At 42.8% G+C, this 18,843-nt stretch overlaps 1 protein-coding gene across 17 annotated transcripts in view; it reads left to right on the forward strand.

The window, feature by feature from the left end:
* GYG2 (glycogenin 2) overlaps positions 1-17,829 on the forward strand; it is a 53,889-nt gene extending 36,060 nt beyond the window's left edge. For 6 of the 17 annotated variants that reach the window (XM_017029928.2, XM_047442609.1, NM_003918.3 and 3 more), the window contains 3 exons: positions 10,821-10,925; positions 12,211-12,318; positions 16,063-17,829. In XM_017029928.2, coding sequence (XP_016885417.1) covers positions 10,821-10,925; positions 12,211-12,318; positions 16,063-16,224 — 375 coding nt within the window. In that variant the 3' untranslated portion in view covers positions 16,225-17,829. The remainder of the gene's footprint in view (positions 1-10,820; positions 10,926-12,210; positions 12,319-16,062) is intronic. The other 11 variants (XM_047442613.1, NM_001184703.2, XM_017029930.2 and 8 more) reach the window with 2 other exon arrangements.

The raw sequence follows: 18,843 nt of genomic DNA on the forward strand, positions 1-18,843 counted from the left end.
TTCAAGTGATCCACCTGCCTCAGCCTCCCAAAGTTCTGGGATTACAAGTGTGAGCCACCATGCCTGGCTATTAAAAACATTCTTAACAGTTTATTCTGAACCACAGTGAGCACTCCCTCATTCGTAAGGGCAGCCACCCTCTTTCAGAAGCAAGTGTGTATTCTCCACCCTTCAGCCCCTGGAGGGATTTCCACGGATTGTCACAGCCCCTGAAAACAAGCTTCCCAGGGCAAACAGTGGTTTTCCAGAGACTCCAAAAGGGAAAACAGTCAGGACGCTCCAGTCCCAGCTCCAGCCCAAGTTGTAGCCACACCAATCTCTGCAAAAACAGAACCATTTCCAGAGTGACAGCACTTAGCACTCTGGTTTCTCTAAAACAGCGCCCGTCATGTTCAATTCATATTAATCTCGATGGAATTGTTGCCGTGGATTTTTCTTGACATAAGTCACTTCTACTTTTACTTTGGATTCATAATTGTCGATGAGGTGGCAACTTAAACAATAGATATGTAGCTTCGTGTTTGTCCGTCCGTGAGCCACCTTTCAATCAGAGCCAGTCAAGCCAAACCTAGGAGAGACTTTCCCGTGGAGGGATTGGGGCTTCTGAGGAAAGCTCATGGAGAGAATCGTGATGACAGAATTGAGGATCATCCTGCCTTGATGCCCAAGGAGGTAAGCAAGGACACAAAAGCACGCTCATTTCACCCCAGTTAGGTGGTGTCTATTATCAAAAAGACAAAAAATATCCACTGCTGGTGAAGATGTGGAGAAAGGGGAACTCTTTTCCACTGTTGATGGGGATTAAAAATAAGCACAGCCAGGATGGAGAAGAGTATGAAGGTTCCTCAAAAAACTACAAATAGAACTACCACATGATCCAGCCATCACCACTGGGCATTTATCCGAAGGAGAGGAAATTAGTATATTGAAGGGACATCTGCCCCCCGTCCATGTTTTTGCAGTTTATTCACAACAGGCAAGATACAGATTCAACCCAAGTGTTTGCCAAAGGATGAATGGGTAAAGAAAATGCCATGTATAGATATACCATGGAATACTATTCAACCATAAAAAAGAAGGAAATCCATCATTTGCAGCAACATGGATGGAAATAGAGGACATTATGGTAGGTGAAATAAGCCAGAAACAGAAAGTTAAACACCACATGTTCTCACTCATCTGTGGGAGCTAAAGAAATTTAACCTCACAGAAGTGAAAAGTAAGGCCAGGCACAGTGGCTCACTCCTGTAATCCCTGCACTTTGGGAGGCTGAGGCAGGATGATTGCTTGAGATCAGGAGTTTGAGACCAGCCTGAGCAACATAGCAAAACCCTGTCTCTGCAAAAAAATACAAAAATTAGCTGGGTGTGCGGTACTTGCCGGTGGTCCCAGCTACTCGCAAGGCTGAGGTGGGAGGATCGCTTGAACCTGGGAGGTCGAGGCTGCGGTGAGCCGAGATCACGCTGCTGCACTCCAGCCTGGGCAGCAGAACAAGACCCTGTCTCAGTAGAAGAGAGTGTACTAGAGACTAGGAAAGGTGGGGGAAGGAGAAGATAGGGAGAGATTTGTTAAAGGATACAAAATTACAGCTAGACAAGAGGAATATGTTGTCATGTTCTATAGCCCTGTAGGATGACTATAGCCAACAGTAATCTATAGTTTCAAATAGCTGGACGGAGGATATTGTATGTTCCCAAAAGAAAGAAATGGTACATATTTGACATGAGGGATATGCTAATTACCCTGACCGGATCACTGAATATTGTAGGTATTGAACCATCCCTGTGTACCCCATGAATATGTACAATTATTATGTGTCAATTTTTAAAAAGTAAATTTTTTTTTTTTAAAAAAAAGTATGTTCAACAGCCAGCAGCCACGAGAAGGTCATCAGCTGGTTTCATCCACAGCAAGAGATTGCTGGCTCCAAATCCCCACCCCATCCTCAAGGGGCAATATTGCAGAAAGGAGGAGGGTGGGAAAAAAATCTCAAGAATTGGAGAATCGCCGGTTTCCAGGGCCCAGAACAAGACCCAGGAGGAGATGAAGATCACCCTTGCAGGTAGAAGCTGTCCCTGTCTGGGTAGTGCTGGGGACAGTAGGTGGCCCTTCTGCTGTCTGTCTGAGCATGAGCTCAAGGCCAAGGGTAAGATGAGGGGAAATGACCCCCAGCTGGGCTGAGCGTACTTTGTTTAGGGTATTTAAGCAGTTCTCAAAAGTGATTGCAGAACCTGTATCTCCCATCTCAGGGACTCTGCCCAGCCTCACCCCTCCCTCCACCCCACTGTCATGCCCACGCTTAGGCTTCAAAACATCAATGGAAGATGATAGTGCAGTGCCCAACTGCAGGCCCTTACATGAATAAACTGTACATCACAGAGGGGGCGGCAAGGGAGGGGAAAACAGACAGATCCAGCTCAGATGGAATTTGATCTGAAGGAAAGTGATAAAGTGAAGAAGGGATCTGTCAGCCCTGCAAGCGGCCCCAGGCACAGCGTGAAGGGGAGGCAGGGAGAGGTCATGCTGGCCTCAGACTTGGACGCTGAAATGTTTAGTTACAGCCGGAGGGGGGACGCCTGCATAGGTCCTAGGGAAAGGAGGGGACACCCAGGCATTGGAGACCCACTGTGTAGACGACTGCGAGACATGCTTAAATATTTAGCAGAAAGGAAGAGAAATTCGAATAGAGAGATTCAGGAATGGGAGGAAGGGATGGAGGTGAAATCAAAGCTGTTTAAATACAGATGCTCTTCGATTTACAATTGGTTTACATCCCAACAAACCCATCGTAAACTGAAATATCTTAAGTCAAAAATGCATTTAGACCAGGTGCAGTGGCTCACGTCTGTAATCCCAACACTTTGGGAGGCCAAGTGTTGGCAGATCACTTGAGCTCAGGAGTTCAAGACCAGCCTGGCCAACACGGTGAAACCCTGTCTCTACTAAAAATACAAAAGTTAGCCAGGCTTGGTGGCGTGCGCCTGTAATCCCAGCTACTCGGGAGGCCGAAGCAGGAAAATGGCTTGAACCTGGGAGGCGGAGGTTGCAGTGAGCTGAGATCACACCACTGCACTCCAGCCTGGGTGACAGAGCAAAACTCAGTCCCAAAAAAAGAAAAAGAAATAGAAATATAAGCATAAACTTAAATAACTGGGGAGCGTTATGTTGGCTGACTGCAACACAGATACGAAAAACCCTGACAGAATAAAAAGAATTCTAACCAAAAAGGTATTTTGGGCCGGGCACGGTGGCTCACACCTGTAATCCTAGCATGTTGGTAGGCTGAGGCAGGCAGTTCACTTGAGCTCAGGAGTTTGAGACCAGCCTGGCCAACACGGTGAAACCCTGTCTCTGCTAGAAATACAAAAATTAGCCGGAAATCGCTTGAACCCGGGAGGTGGAGGTTGCAGTGAGCTGAGATCGTGCCAGTGCATTCCAGCCTGGGCAACAGAGTGAGACTCCGTCTCAAAAAAAAAAAAAAAAAAAAAGGTATTTTGGAGTTCCTGTGTCCACATAATTTCATCCTTCGATCTCACCCCCTATTCTCCCCACCTCTCCATCCTAAGGTCGGTGAATACTGCGTCGGGGAAATTGACCTAAAAAAATTTGTTATGGTCTATATATTCTCTGATGAGGGTATTTTTCTAAAAGCAATGAAGTCTTCAGGCTTTTAAAAGGAAGGGATTGGGGGGCGAGGGGAGGGAGAGCATCAGGACAAATAGCTAATGCATGCGGGGCTTAAAAGCTAGGTGACGGGTTGATAGGTGCAGCGAACCACCATGGCACACGTATACCCGTGTAACAAACCTGCACATCCTGCACACGTATCCCAGAATTTAAAGTAAAAGCAAAACAAAACAAAACTCTTTTTAACAAAAGGTATGTTGATTGATTGGAGATTATTATATTACGGTCACATTTTCCAAGATAATATTTGATAACACTGAACAAGGAGTTGAAAATTTGAGCTGTTTTGTATACTAGTTATGTGACTTTGGATAAATCAATAAATATTTCTGAACATCTTAAAAAAAAAAAAAAGAGGGATGCTGTCCATACGGTATCTGATATATAGCTCACCCTCCGCATCTATGGGTTCCATATCTGTGGATTCAACCAACCTTGGATCGAAAATATTGGGGAAACAAAATTGCATCTGCACTCAACATGCACAGACTTTTTTCTCTTGTTATTATTCCCTAAACAATACGACATAGCAGGTATCAACATAGCATGTGCATTGTAATAGGTATGGTAATTAACCTAGAGATGATTTAAAGTCTATGGGAGGATGTGCATTGCTTATATGCAAAGACAGTTCCATCTTGTATCAGAGACTTGAGCATCCGTGGATTTTGGTATAACCAGGAGGTCCTGGAACCAATCCTCCATGGATATCAGGAGAAATTCCATTTCATTAATTCGTACTCCCGGTGGTCTTTGAAATGAGTCGTGCAACATCACTGTCACCTGCTGTCCATTTAGTGAGTTACTCTGGGTTTTTTATTTAGGGGAGCTGAAACACAGATTTTTAAAAAAAGTTTATTTTCATAAATCGCAATAATGTCATAAAAGCTGAGTGTGCGTCTGGGGCTCTTTAGTCCAGTAGCTACTTTGGTATATATAATGATGGCAAGGTTGACGTGTTTTGGTTTTGTTGTTGTTGTTGTTTTTGAGACAGGGTCTCGCTCTGTTGCCCAGGCTGGAGTGCAGTGGCACAATCTCGGCTCACTGCAGCCTTGACCTCCTGGACTCAAGTGATCCTCCCACCTCCTCCCAGGTAGCTGGGACTACAGGAGGTGCCACCACACCTGGCTGATATTTTGTATTTTTTGTAGAGATGGGTTTCACCATGTTTCCCAGGCTACTCTTGAATTCCTGGGCTCTAGCGATCTGCTCATCTTGGCCTCCCAAAGTGTTGAAATTACAGGCGTGGGCCACCGTGCCTGCCCCAGATCTGTGTTTTTTAAAGTAAAGCTGAATATTAATTTTTTCCACATACATTAATGTATTAAGGAAAAAGTTGCAATTAGTATCTTCTCCAGCGTTTTGTCTTCTAGTATTTGGGGTAGGGAAATGTAGTTAATTAAAAGATTACAGATGTCCTTCAGTTTTTTTTTTTTTAAGCTATCAAGTTTTTTTACTCTTTTTGTAGTGCATCTTATTTTATTCATAATACACCTTTTTGTTGAAGTATGTCTTACTTTTTTATTTATTTATTTATTTTTTTGAGACAGAGACTTGCTCTGTCGTCCAGGCTAGAGTGCACTGGTGCGATCTCGGCTCACTGAAGCCTCCGCCTCCTGGGTTCAAGCGATTCTCCTGCCTCAGCCTCCCAACTAGCTGGGACTACAGGCATCCGCCACTACACCTGGCTAATTTTTTGTATTTATAGTAGAGCCGGGTTTTCAGCATGTTGGCCAGGCTGGTCTCGAACTCCTGACCTCAGGTGATCCACCTGCCTGAGCCTCCCAAAGTGCTGGCATTACAGGCATGAGCCACCACGCCCGGCCTCTACTAACATTAGTAGAACCGTTGACTGTGTCCCATATATCTATGACACAGTTATCTGCATTTTCTGTCAATCTTTCTCCCCATACTTCAGTCTACTGACCTATTTTCTAGTTAACTGATCTCTTTGGCTATGTCTAATCTGTTGTTAAACCCACATTCTAGCTTCAGTTATTATGTTTTTAGTTCAAATTAACATCAGATTTTTAGTTCAAATAACATCAATGTAGTTTCAATACTACCTTGAAAATTTTTATCTTTTTCCCCATCTTATTTAAAGTATTTCTCACATTTAATTATAGTCCATGTCTGATAAATTACATATCTGGGTTTCAGGTGGGTTTGGTTTTGTTGTTTAATTTTGCTTGCTCTTGATTTTCACTCATTTGGTCTTTTCTTGTTGTATGATAGTTAATTTTTTAATTGACAGCCAGACATGGTAAATGAAAAAGAATTGCAAAGACAATTTGTAGCTCTGAATCATATTATCATAACCCAAAGAGGATTTTTTTTTTTAATTCATGTGATTTGATGTGATTTGTCCATACCCTGAGGTAGTTTGCCCAGACCCTATCTGGGGCTGAGCTGGAGGGAAATTGGGCTTCAGTGTTTGTGATGACCAGTCTATTTCTGGTTCTCCTCTCAGTGAGGTCACAAAAGAAAGCTTGTGGTGTGTACCAGGGTCCCTCATTGGTCCTGATTATTAATATTTATGGACCCCTCAGCCTCCTAGCACTGCTGGCAACTCTACTCAGTTTCTCAGCTTCCCAGCCTCTTATTTGCCCTGAGTGGAAGTAAGGTACCAAATGTGACATTTACCTCTTCTGTTTGTCTCTGGTATCTTCACTCTTAATTTTGTGCTGCCTTAGTAGCTCTCTGATGCACTTAAAAAAAAAAAAAATTCTAGGCCAGGTGTGGTGGCTCACACGTGTAATGCCAGCACTTTGTGAGGCCAAGGCAGGCAGATCACCTGAGGTCAGGAGTTTGAGACCAGCCTGGCCAACATGGTGAGACCCCCATCTCTACTAAAAATACAAAAACTAGCTAGGCATGGTGGCACGTGCCTGTAATCCCAGCTACTCGGGAGGCTGAGACAGGAGAATCACTTGAACCTGGGAGGGAGATGTTGCAGTGAGCCGAGATGGTGCCACTGCACTCCAGCCTGGGCAACAGAACGAGACTCCGTCTCAAATAAATAAATAAATAAATAAATAAATAAATAAATAAATAAATAAAATTCTATATACATTATTTGTGCAGCCTTTTTAGGTATTTTTGGCAGAAGACTTAGTGTGAAACAACAGCTTCACCATTTGCTGAAAGTGGAAAAAATCTCATTTCAGTTCCTGAGCTGATACATATATATTTGTATTTTTAGCATTCACCACCTCCAGCAGTAATAACTTTCACAAATTTATAGCCCATAATGCAAAGGAGTGCTTCCTTTTTTGCTGTAAATGTTATCTCCTTGGATTGTGTACTGGAACATTCTGTGTCTGCTGTCTATCTGTTCCCTGCCTCGTCTGCCTTTACGATGTCCTCTCTCAGCTTTCATCTTCCCACACAGAGCATTTTGTTTTAAGCATCTCTGCATATCTCAGCCTCTTTCCAATGACCTGAGAATTCTTCTCTGGCCTGCCTCCAGTTTCAGAGTCCCTTCTTTCAAGGTGACCCCATCTTCAGTCAGGCTTTTAGGGGATACATCAGTAGAATAGTTATTACCTAAGGATAAAAAGAAATGCAGTTTGTAAAAGTCACATTTTATATTCATGCATTCACAAGCTTGCCAAAAATGTTCTTAAGAGCGGACTTTGAGATTGCTGCATTCTCATCTTAAAATTTCTCTCTGCATGATATGCAAGGGGGAAGTGTCTACTTTTTACTAGTAAAAATAATGGCCATATTTATTCATAAAAGTTGGTTTATGTTTCGGCTGTTAATATTACTTGTTAAGTAAGCCTCTGGGTCTTGATTAGAAACATTAGCAAGGGCTGACTGAACTTCTCTTCCTCGTTTAAATTCGTAAGATTAACACATCTGCAGAAGGCAAGCTGAGAACTTGCATCATTATTTCATCCTCTGTAATCAAACATATAACCCCGAGTTAAATCCCTTCCGAGGAAGGATTATACTTCATGATCGGCCCCGTGGAACTTATTTATGTGTTTATCGTTGGGAGAAATTAGATGACAGAAACAGATTGACATTTTCCCTAATCCATTTCCAGGAATGGTTTTTTGAGCACTTATTCTTTGCCTGTCTGGCTGCTTCATTTATCCATCACAATAAGTGTCTGTGTGACATCTCACTGAAAGCCCCATGACTCAGAGAGTCATTTCTGCAGGTCCTTTTCCTTGATGGGTCAGTATTCAAATCCAGGACATCCCTCTACCAGCCCTGGTTGAAGAAGGAAATTATTCATTTTTATGGGATTCATATGGTTTATGATAATGCAGTTATTGCATTCGTCATTTTTTCCCAAGACTCATTTTGGTGTTTTGCAAGGCGCATACCCAAATCCCGCTCTCTCACTTGCTAGTTCTCGTATGTTGGGCAGTATCTCTGTCTGCAGATTAAACTTTGCAGCAGTAAGAGGGAAGGCTCAACCTGTCTGCCTCATAGGGCTGTCGCGATTAAAAGGAATCAGGGCTGAGAAGTTTATGAGTGTCACTCAGCAGCCAGCCATGAGCAGCCACTAAAAAAGGAGTCCTGTTATCATGGTTGTCTGATATCTTTGACAACTTATAATTTTGTGTTACACCATAATTCTTAGAACTTAATTTTATATTTGGATTTTACATACATAGCTGAGATCTGAAAGAAGAAGCCCATATTTTATTTAATGTTAATTTTTAAAAATTTCTCTCCAGCTGTATTGAGGTACCACTGACAAATAAAAATTGGTGTGTATTTAAGGAGTACAATTTGATGCTTTGCTGTATGTATACATTGTGAAACAATCATTGTATCAAGGTAATTAACATTTTCATCACCTCGCATAAATGCTGTTTTCTCCTCCTCCTCCTCCTCTTCCTCCTCTTTCTCCTCCTCCTCCTCCTGCTGCTGTTCTTGGTAATGAGAACACATAAGATCTACTCTCATAGCAAATTTTAAGTACACAATCCTATATTGTTAACTGTGGTCACCATGCTGTATGTTAGATCCCCAGAACTTATTTATCTTGTGTAACTAAAACTTCATATTCATTCCTTCACCAACATGTCTTCATTCTAAGCACCCCGCCCCCAGCCCCTGGCAACTACTGTTCCACTCTATTCTTCTGTGAGTTATTTAAAGTGCACTTTCGGAGGCTGGGCATGGTGACTCACCTGTAATTCCAGTACTTTGGGAGGCTGAGGCAGGCAGATCACTTGAGGTCAGGAGTTCAAGACCAGCCTGGCCAAGATGGTGAAACCCCATCTCTACGAAAAAATACACAAAAAAAATTAGCTGGGTTTGGTGATGCATGCCTGTAATCCCAGCTACTCAAGAGGCTGAGATAGGAGAATCACTTGAACCCAGGAGGCAGAAGGTTCAGTGAGCCAAGATCATGCCACTGCACTCCAGCCTGGGTGACTCTGTCTCAAAAATAAAATAAAATAAATAAATAAATAAAATCAATTGCACTTTCGTGATTATGAGTTAGAATAGTCAAATTAAAAAAAAGGTTCATGATTACAGTGTTCTCTTTTACATCTTAAAGTTTCAGTAAATCTCACTAATAATGACTTTTGGGGGTGTTCAGTTTTTATAGATACCTTTTTTCTATTTCTTTCTGTGCTCCTGTTCCTCTGCCTTAGGGCATTGCACATGCTGATCTGCTTTCACGTGCATTTTTCAGCATGTTCTTCTTCTTACTTCATTTCCAGTCGTTCTACATCATTGGCTTCTACTCAGCCTTCAGGCTTCATTTTAGATATTACTTCCCTAGGAGTGTCTCCCCCTTTAGACCAGGTGAGGTCTCTTGATAACATTTTCTTTCCTAGAATTGATAACCATTTTCTTTCCTAGAATTGATAACCATTTTCTTTCCTAGAATTTCTCATGGCTTGCCATTTTGTATTTGTTATTTGTTGATTTTCTGTCTTCTTTGACAGTAAGCTTCATGAAGGTGCAGATCATATCTGTGTAGGCCACTGTTTAATCTTCACTACCTACCTCTCCATAAACACCTGTGAAATGCATACATTCATGCCTCGATTAGGAGAATGAACTGGACATTCTCCTAAAAGGGAATGCTAGGATCAGAAATTTGGGAGCTGAGTATCCGAGTGACTGATCTCCACCCCAGCTGACATCACTCAAAATCTCTGGGATCATGGCCTGCGGGTCTGCATTTGAAGGATTACAATTCTCTGAAGTTGGCCTGGTGCAGGCAAGAGGGGCTCATGTTGAGGCTCAACCCCATCCACCCCCAAGAATTCCACAGTGTGTTTTCAGTGAGGATGTCAGTGTTCTCTTATCTCTGTTGCTCACACTCATTAAGCTAACTGCTTTGTGACCTGACCTGATGGGGGCCCCAGTGTTTGGACACAGGTTTGCTTCTTGACCCTGTATTTGTCAAGGTAGGCTAGCTGCTATAACAAACAGCCCCCAAATAAGTAAAAGTTTATTTCTCATTTGTATCACAGCCAGCTGGGGTGGCCAAGGTATCCTCTACCCCATGCAGCCTTTCAGGGATCCAGGATGCTCCTATTGTTGTGCACCACCTTCTAGGGCAGCTCTTCTCAAGTGAGACTCCTTGGGAGGATTAGGCGCTGTTGCTGACGGCAGCCACTGTACGTAATGCATTAAGTAATCTCCTCCCCATCTAGCATGGTGTTAGATATGGACCATCCTTGGGAGAGTTGAGAAAAGAGTCACCTGATTTGTTCTCTGTTTGGTTTTATTTTCTTATGGAGGCCCAGTTCAGAGAGGGTGGAGGGATCTTGTTTTTCACCTGGCTGGTGGTAGAAGAGAGGATAGGAATATCTTATTCCTCTCGTTGCCCAGCCCAGAGGTGACTCACATCACCTCCTCACATTCACTCACATCACCTCCTCACATTCACTCAATCTGCTTGTGGGAATCACTTCCATGGTCCTGTCCAGGTGCAAGGAGGTCACAAAATGCACTTAGACATTAGCCCGAGAAGAAGAAGAAACAAACACAGGTATTGGTGAGCATATCACCTTGCCCCAGTCCTATCCCATATCAAGTTGTATTTGCACCATAGAGGCAGAAAAAAATGGAGTGGGTATTTTCAATTAAGTTGCATTTATTTGCACGAAGGTTTGACTTAACTTGCCTTTGCTCTTTCTTTATAACAGATGATAGCTTGTCCTGAAACTGAGACTCCTGCCGTGATAACGTGTGACCCACTGTCCCAGCCTTCCCCTCAGCCTGCAGACTTCACAGAGACTGAAACCATCTTGGTATTCCTCATCTATATGACCTACACATGGCCAGCTCTCTTATTGCTTGTTATTTTCTCACAGGGTCTATCCCCATTACATACCAGTGGGGGCGCCATAGGCTTTTAAAAATTCCTCCCTTTTTTTTTTTTTTTTTTTTTTTTTTTTGAGTGGTTTCTCCCACCTGGAATAAGTTGTGTTATAATTAGTCTATTTCTCTATTATCCAGGTGGATAAGGAATCTGGCTGTCTGTTCGAACTTATTGTGGGGTTTTCTTTTTCGTCATTTTGTTATTCTCTTCCACTTTGCTTAAAAAAATTAATAAGAAAAAGATACAGCGTCTATATAGCATCTATGTCTCCATTAATTTTTTTAAACTTTTGATAGGACTTGCACCATGTCTAAAATCAATATTCCATGACTATGGATTTTATTTTAATTCTTTTTTTCTCTAAGTTTACCCTTATGAATCTGGGCTTTTATTGCCACATATCATCAGAAAACTGGCTTTATGGACACCCCCCTGTTTTTAAACTCTCAAAGAGACTATCTTAGTAAAATGCTTCTGTAGGCATTTGGTATAAACAAGTCAAATCTCTCTCTGAAAATTTAACTTCCATGAATTGCATAAGAACTTGTAGCATCTCCTCTTGTCTGAGACTTGGTGGATGGCTCAGAAAAAGTGAGGGGAGAGAAGCTGAGCTATTTTTAGCATTCCCAGAAAAGAAGATCGAGTACAGTCCATCAGTTTTTTTAAAAAAGTTAATTATAGTGCCGGCCGCGGTGGCTCACGCCTGTAATCCCAGCACTTTGGGAGGCCGAGGCGGGCGGATCATGAGGTCAGGAGATCGAGACCATCCTGGCTAACACGGTGAAACCCCCGTCTCTACTAAAAATACAAAAAATTAGCTGGGCGTGGTGGTGGGCGCCTGTAGTCCCAGCTACTCCGGAGGCTGAGGCAGGAGAATGGCGTGAACCCGGGAGGTGGAGCTTGCAGTGAGCCGAGATCACGTCACTGCACTCCAGCCTGGGCGACAGAGTGAGACTCCGTCTCAAAAAAAAAGTTATAATAAAGATGAGGTCTTGCTATTTTGCCGAGGCTGGTCTCGAACTCCTGGGCTCAGGCAATCCTCCTGCCTTGGCCTCCTAAAATGCTGGGATTACAGGCATGAGCCACCGCGCCTGGCCTCAACCCAATAATTTGATTTTATTTTACCCCAGGATAAAGAGTTCTCCATCATTTAGGTTAGGGCTACAGTTCCCTGCAGCCCACCGCAGACTAATGATGGAATGGTTATGTTTTAGCAGCCAGCAAATAAAGTCGAAAGTGTCTCATCCGAGGAAACCTTCGAACCAAGCCAGGAACTCCCTGCTGAGGCTCTCAGGGACCCCAGTCTGCAGGATGCACTGGAGGTGGTATCCAAATTCTTCCCCTTGCCCAAGGCTCCCGGTGGGGGCCATCCACCGTCACTGAGGTCAACTGCATGCACACAACAGCTGTTAATTTTTCAGCCTCATTTAACAAAAAATAAGAATCGGCTTCCCTCTTCCCCTGCCTCTGATTCTTCTGTCTTCTCTCTGGCATTTGCCTGGGGTGATCGGCCGACTCTCTTTTGCCATCTTCAAGTCTGATCATCACGCTTTTTCTCTCTTTAAAAGCTGTTCTGCAGAAGGGATCAGGAGGGAAGTTGAGGGACTGTGGAAATTAATGCGTAGCAATCCATTTTCTGAAATGAAGAGATTAAAAGCTGAAAATTGGAGGGAGTGGGGCATGCTAATGTTCGAATCCAAATGGGGCATGCAAATAATTTCTTCTTTCAGGATGAAATGAGAGATGCATGCTTTCTGTTCCTTCCTCTTAGAGATGTTTTCATCTTCAACTACGTTCTCTCCATTGATGCATTTAATGAAAGCAATTGCTAACGTTTTCTCTTGCTCTTTAAGCATGATCTAATAATGCCATTTGGTCTTTAAGTAACAATCAATACAGCTCTAGAGCTAGGTTTAGGTCTAGACTGAAAGTTGGTATTGAACGCATGTTTAGAGTGTGACCTACTGTGTTGGCTAAATGCCTTCCCTGGACAGTCACCCTTGGAGAAAATGTGAACTTGTTTTTCTCATTCTTACTTGGTTACTGTTCAAATGCAGCATTTTGAACTTAATTTCTAGAGCTGTTGGTTGAGGTCCAGGTTTCTTATAAACATGTGAATGTATCCCTTCAGCATGTTCCATCCTTGTGGTCATCATTTGAGGCTCTGTGAATTGAATCTGTAGTTATTAGTGAGTGACAGGGCATCAGTGTGAGGTTGGGTAAGACCTACGTTGGACAGCTCAGCCATGTGGTAGGTTTGGGATCCTGGATGAGTTCATTACTTTTTCTTTTTAAAAATTATTATTATTATTATTATTATTTAGGGACAGGGTCTTGCTGTGTAGCCCAGGCTGGAGTGCAGTGGCATGATCATAGCTAAGCAGTCTTCCTGCCTCAGCCTTCCAAGGAAATGGAACTACAGGCATGGGCCACTGCAACCAGCTAATTTTTTATTTTTATTTTTTGTGGAGTTGGGGTTTCACTATGCTGTCCAGGCTGGTCTCGAACACCTGGCCTCAAGTGATCCTCCTTTTTTGGCCTCTCGAAATGCTGGGATTACAGGCATGAGCCACCGCGCCCAGCCTGAGTTCATTACTTTGCTTCAGTGTTCATGAGGTGGAGACTGGGTTGCCCACCTCACAGAATTGGAAGGAGGGGTATTAAAAAGGAGAGTGGTATAGGGAAAGCCCTAGTTAGTGCTTGGCTCATAAAGATGAGGAAGATTTCGGTCATTGATTTGCTAAACCGGGGCACTTTGACCTCCTGTGTGTCCACACTGTCCTCTAGGGGAACTTTATTTAGTATCTTGTATAATACCCTAATTCATAACATTGGAGCAGCTTGTTGTTTTCTTGGATACTCATCTCTTGTTAGCAGAAATGTCACAATCACTGTGCTGTTTTGTCTTGAAAACTAGTATAAGGTTGGGTGCTGTAGGTCCTGTTAATTCCAGAAACATTTCATTCTCAGGAACTGAATGGATCTAAATGCAAGTGCTCTTAGAGGGGAGAAATGCTGCAGTATCCTGAAGTGGACTTTTTAATTTATTTGTTAACTCTTGCTATCACCTTAATCAATAGGATGGCTGTCTTTAAATAAAATATAATATATGGGAATGAGTGTAGAAGGCAGAATCTTATATGTAAAAACCTTCTAAAAACACTGCGGCAAGTAATTAGAGAAGAAAGTAGTATATGCCTATGGTGTAAAAACTCAAATTTATCTTTCTATATATCTATCTCTATACATATCATGTATCTATCTATCTACCTCTTATCTATTTTCTTTTTTTTTTTTTTTTTGATGGAGTCTCACTCTGTCACCCAGTCTGGAGTGCAGTGGCGTGATCTCGGCTCACTGCAACCTCCGCCTCCCGGGTTCAAGTGATTCTCCTGACTCAGCCTCCCGGGTAGCTGGGACTACAGTCACCCACGACCAAGCCCGGCTAATTTTTGTATTTTTAGTAGAGATGGGGTTTCACCATGTTGGCCGGGCTGGTCTCGAACTCCCGACCTCAAGTGATCCACCTGCCTCGGCCTCCCAAAGTGGGATTACAGGCATAAACCACCACACCCGGCTATCTATCTATTTTCTATCATCTATCTCATCTATATATCCATTCATCCTCACATCTAGATAATAGATACATAGATATAGAAGAGATAAAACATAGGTAGTAGATAGAGATGATAGATAAATGAATGATAGAGTGATAGATGATAGATAGGTAGATAGGTAGAGAGATATTTTAGATAAATAGATAAATGATAGAGTATAGAACGGATGGATGGATGGATGGATAAATGGATAGATAGATTGATAGAAAGTAGATAGGTAGGTAGAGATCATAGATAGATAAATAGGTAGATAGATGATGGAGTGATAGATGACAGATGATTTATTGATAAATAGAATGGATGGACAGATGGATGGATGGATGGATGGATGAGTGGATAGATAGAACATAGGTAGATAGATGAGATAGATGATAGATAATAGATGGTTGGTAGATGAGATAGATGATAAATAGATGATAGATAGATAGATAGAAAGATGTGTGTGTGTCTATTATTGTTACCATCTTTAAATTTTTAAGAGTCTTTTTCTAGTTCTTGGTAAGAAGTGTTTAAAGCAAATGTATTTGTTCTTTTTGTTGACTCATCTGAATGCCAAACAAAATGTGTGTGTGTGTGTGTGTGTGTGTGTTGTTACACACTTGCATTTTCATCTGTTTTTTCACATGACCCTTAAGAAGGCAGGAACTCTGCCATTGAAAAAACTATCTGAATTATTATTTAAATTCCTTTGCCAAGCAGTCCAAATTCTTATAGGCTTTACTTACAGGAGGTGAGTTGTTTTTTCATTTAACGTAGTTTGGTTATTCACTGTCATACAAAACAGAAGTTTTGGTGGGTGAGAGTATTAAATTAGTGTGTGTGTGTGTGTGTGTGTGTGCACATGCGCATGTGTGCATGTGTGTGTTTAAAATGGTTTAGTGGCTAGAAATGAAAACAATTCTTCAGAAAAAGAGAACATATACAATTACATTTTATAAAATTTCAAAACACTTAAGCAAAAAAAATTATCTTCTAAGCATATTATACTAAATCTAGTGTATATTTAGCTCAAAAGAAAAGTGCTGCTGGGTGTGGAGGCTCACACCTGCAATCCCAGCTCACTGGGAGGCCAAGGCAAGAGGATTGCTTGAGCCCGGGAATTCAAGACCACACTGGGCAACATAATGAGACCCCATCTGTGCAAAAAATACAAAAATCAGCTGGGCATGGTGATGTGCCCTGTAGTCCCAGCTACTGAGGAGGCAGATGTGGGAGGATCTCTTGAGCCCAGGAGGTCAAGGCTGCAGTGAGCTGTGACTGCACCACTGCACTCCAGCCTGGACGACAGAGACCCTGTCTCATTAAAAACAAAGTGCTAGTGATTCGCAATCTCTTTTTGAGAACTGAGATGCATCTTTCTGCGGGACCCTACACTGGATGGGTTTTAGCAGTCTTTCCCTCGATAATGGACAGCTGCAAAAACCATCTCCCACTGACTGTCTTCCCTAGGTCGACCTGGCCGTCTCTGTTTCCCAGATCTCCATCGAAGAGAAGGTGAAGGAATTGAGCCCCGAGGAAGAGAGGAGGAAGTGGGAGGAAGGCCGTATCGACTACATGGGGAAGGACGCGTTTGCTCGCATCCAGGAGAAGCTGGACCGGTTCCTGCAGTAATCCGGCAGCTGGTGGGCGTTGTGTGTAGTTAGACAATGTCCTGTTGGGTGGTCCTGTTGCGTGGAGATCTCCTCTGGTCCTTTCAAAGGGAAACGCTGTTGAACCTTGTGCCTCTATTTATGCTTAATCCATTTGAGTGCCTCACACAAAAAACGTAGAGTATAGAAATCCACCTTAAAGCCCCTCGCCCCAACTTCTCCACCAACGCCTTCTGGGCTTTCTTCAGAGGTCACTTCTACCCTTGAAGCTGTCGGCAAAAGCGAGCAGTAATAACATTCTAGTAGACTCTCGATGGTGGTCTCCGCTCTTGCCCGAAGGACCTCTGAAGTACGCTGGAGCTGTGTTGTACAGGTGCTGTGAGACCTACCCTATTCAGAATTAAACCTCACTGCAAATTTCCTCCCATCACGAAGCTAACAACACTAATATACGTATTTAGCACCTCTGAGGCTTTGCCATGGAGACCCATTTCTGTAGGGCTAAGGAAACATTTAGACGTGGTGACTGACTTTCATTTGGACTTGGCGAAGTGTATCTGAGAAACACCTCGGCTGTGGTCTCTCTGCTTTAAATCCTAACAGGACTTCCTAGAGCGTTGACAGAAATTCTACTCGTGGACGTTGGGAAGAAAGATTGTAGGTGGCTTGGGGAATGTGGGTGGCTTAGAGGATCTAAACCGATTCACTTCCTGGTTGAGAAGCAACGAGGGCTTGCTCTAAATCGTTTAGAGGATAACAGGATCTAGAGATGCTCTCTGCTTGACAACAAAAGTCAGGGTGCAGTCGGTCCACCCTTGACTGCTCTTGGCTTGGTCTCTACCCTCACTACCTCAGTTCTCAATAACTTAGTGAATCACTGCCCTCCTCAAAGCCATTTCCACTCAGCTCTTTCCAGAGAATTCTCAGTTTTATGAGACGGGAAACTTTATTTCACGAGAAAGCCTCATTGTCAGAAGTATCTTCATTCAATGGGCACAATATGCTGTGTATCTCACCAGGTAGCTGTCAGGGGCCACCGAGAGTGTCGTTAAAAATGGGCATGGTTGTAATAAAGGAGGAAAGTGCGACTTTTGAAATGTTTGGAAGGTTTATTTCTCATGCACATTCCAGGGAAAAGCAGAGAGTAAATTAGAGACGGGATAGGAAGGCCGTGGGAGAACTCGATCCTAGCCTGTGTCAGCTGGATGTGTTTACGTGGAGAGGCGTGGCCACTTTTTAGGTCACCTGAAGCAGTTTAGCCTTTGGATAGAGGAACCTGCCTGAATTTATGGCATTAGTGGTGGCATTTTTTTGTGTACAAGATGTGGGTGATGGAGGGGCTGTTTCTTTTTCCGTGTGGGTGGTTAATAATCGTCAGTCTCGGAGGGCGAGGCTCGTAGGATATTTCAGGTGAGTCAGGGTTGGATGGTCATCGGCTTTCAGAAGGAGACCACGGGAATGTTCAGGGAAACAATGTCAGCTTCTCTGAGGACCAGAATTCATGTTCACGGGCAGTGATGAGTTGGCTTATGGAGTGAGTCCAGTCTGGAATTCCGCCGTGCATTCTAGCCTGTATCATCTCATTTGGACAAATGCTGGCACGTTGAAATTAAAATGTTAAAAAACAGCCATGTGGCCTCCTTCCAGTGTGTGTTTGCCTATTTCCTGCGATATCAGGCTTATATTTTATATTAAACCAAGGGTAGGGCCTTTCTATTTTATTTTCGGCCTTTTCTATTGTATTTTGTTTTTAAAATAGTAAGCATCGGGCTGGGCGTGGTGGCTCACTCCTGTAATGCCAGCACTTTGGGAGGCTGAAACAGGTGGATCACGTGAGGCCAGGAGTTCAAGACCAGCCTGGGCAACATGGTGAGGCCCCGTCTCTACCAAAAACACAAAAATATTAGCCGGGCATGGTGGCACACGTCTGCAATCCCAGCTACTGGGGAGGCTGAGGCACAAGAGTTGCTTGAGCTGGGGAGGCAGAGGTTGCAGAGAGCTGAGATCACACCACCATACTCCAGCCAGGGCGACAGAGTGAGGATCTGTCTCAAAAAAATAAATAAATAAAATATAATAATAATAATAATAAGCATTATTTGAGCTGGAATTGCAAGGTAAAATTTTAACAGTAAACAATAAACATACTTTATTTTATTTTTGATTTAAAATGTTTTTTAACTGTCATGTAATAATTGTACATATTTATGGGGCATGTAGTAAAGTTGCAGTACACGTCATGTCTACTGATCAGGTCACGGGAATTAGCATATCCATCATCTCCAACCTGTACCATTTTTTGTGTTGGGAACATTCAGTATTCTCCTTCTATATATATATTTGAAACTATATAATATATGATTTTGAGCTGTAGTCATCCTATAGTGCTATATACCAGTGATCCCCAACCTTTTTGGCACCAGGGACCAGTTTCATGGAAGACAATTTTTCCAGAAACCAGGCTGGGGGGATGGTTTTGGGATGATTCAGGTGCATGACACTTATTGTGCACTTTATTTCTGTTATGATTACATTGTAACATGCAATGAAATAATTATACAACTCAGCATCATGTAGAATCAGTGGGAGCCCTGAGCTTGTTTTCCTGCAACTGGACAGTCCCATCCAGGGGTGACAGGAG

The sequence above is a fragment of the Homo sapiens genome, chromosome X (genome assembly GCF_000001405.40).
Source record: "Homo sapiens chromosome X, GRCh38.p14 Primary Assembly".
Taxonomy (NCBI): Eukaryota; Metazoa; Chordata; class Mammalia; order Primates; family Hominidae; genus Homo; species Homo sapiens.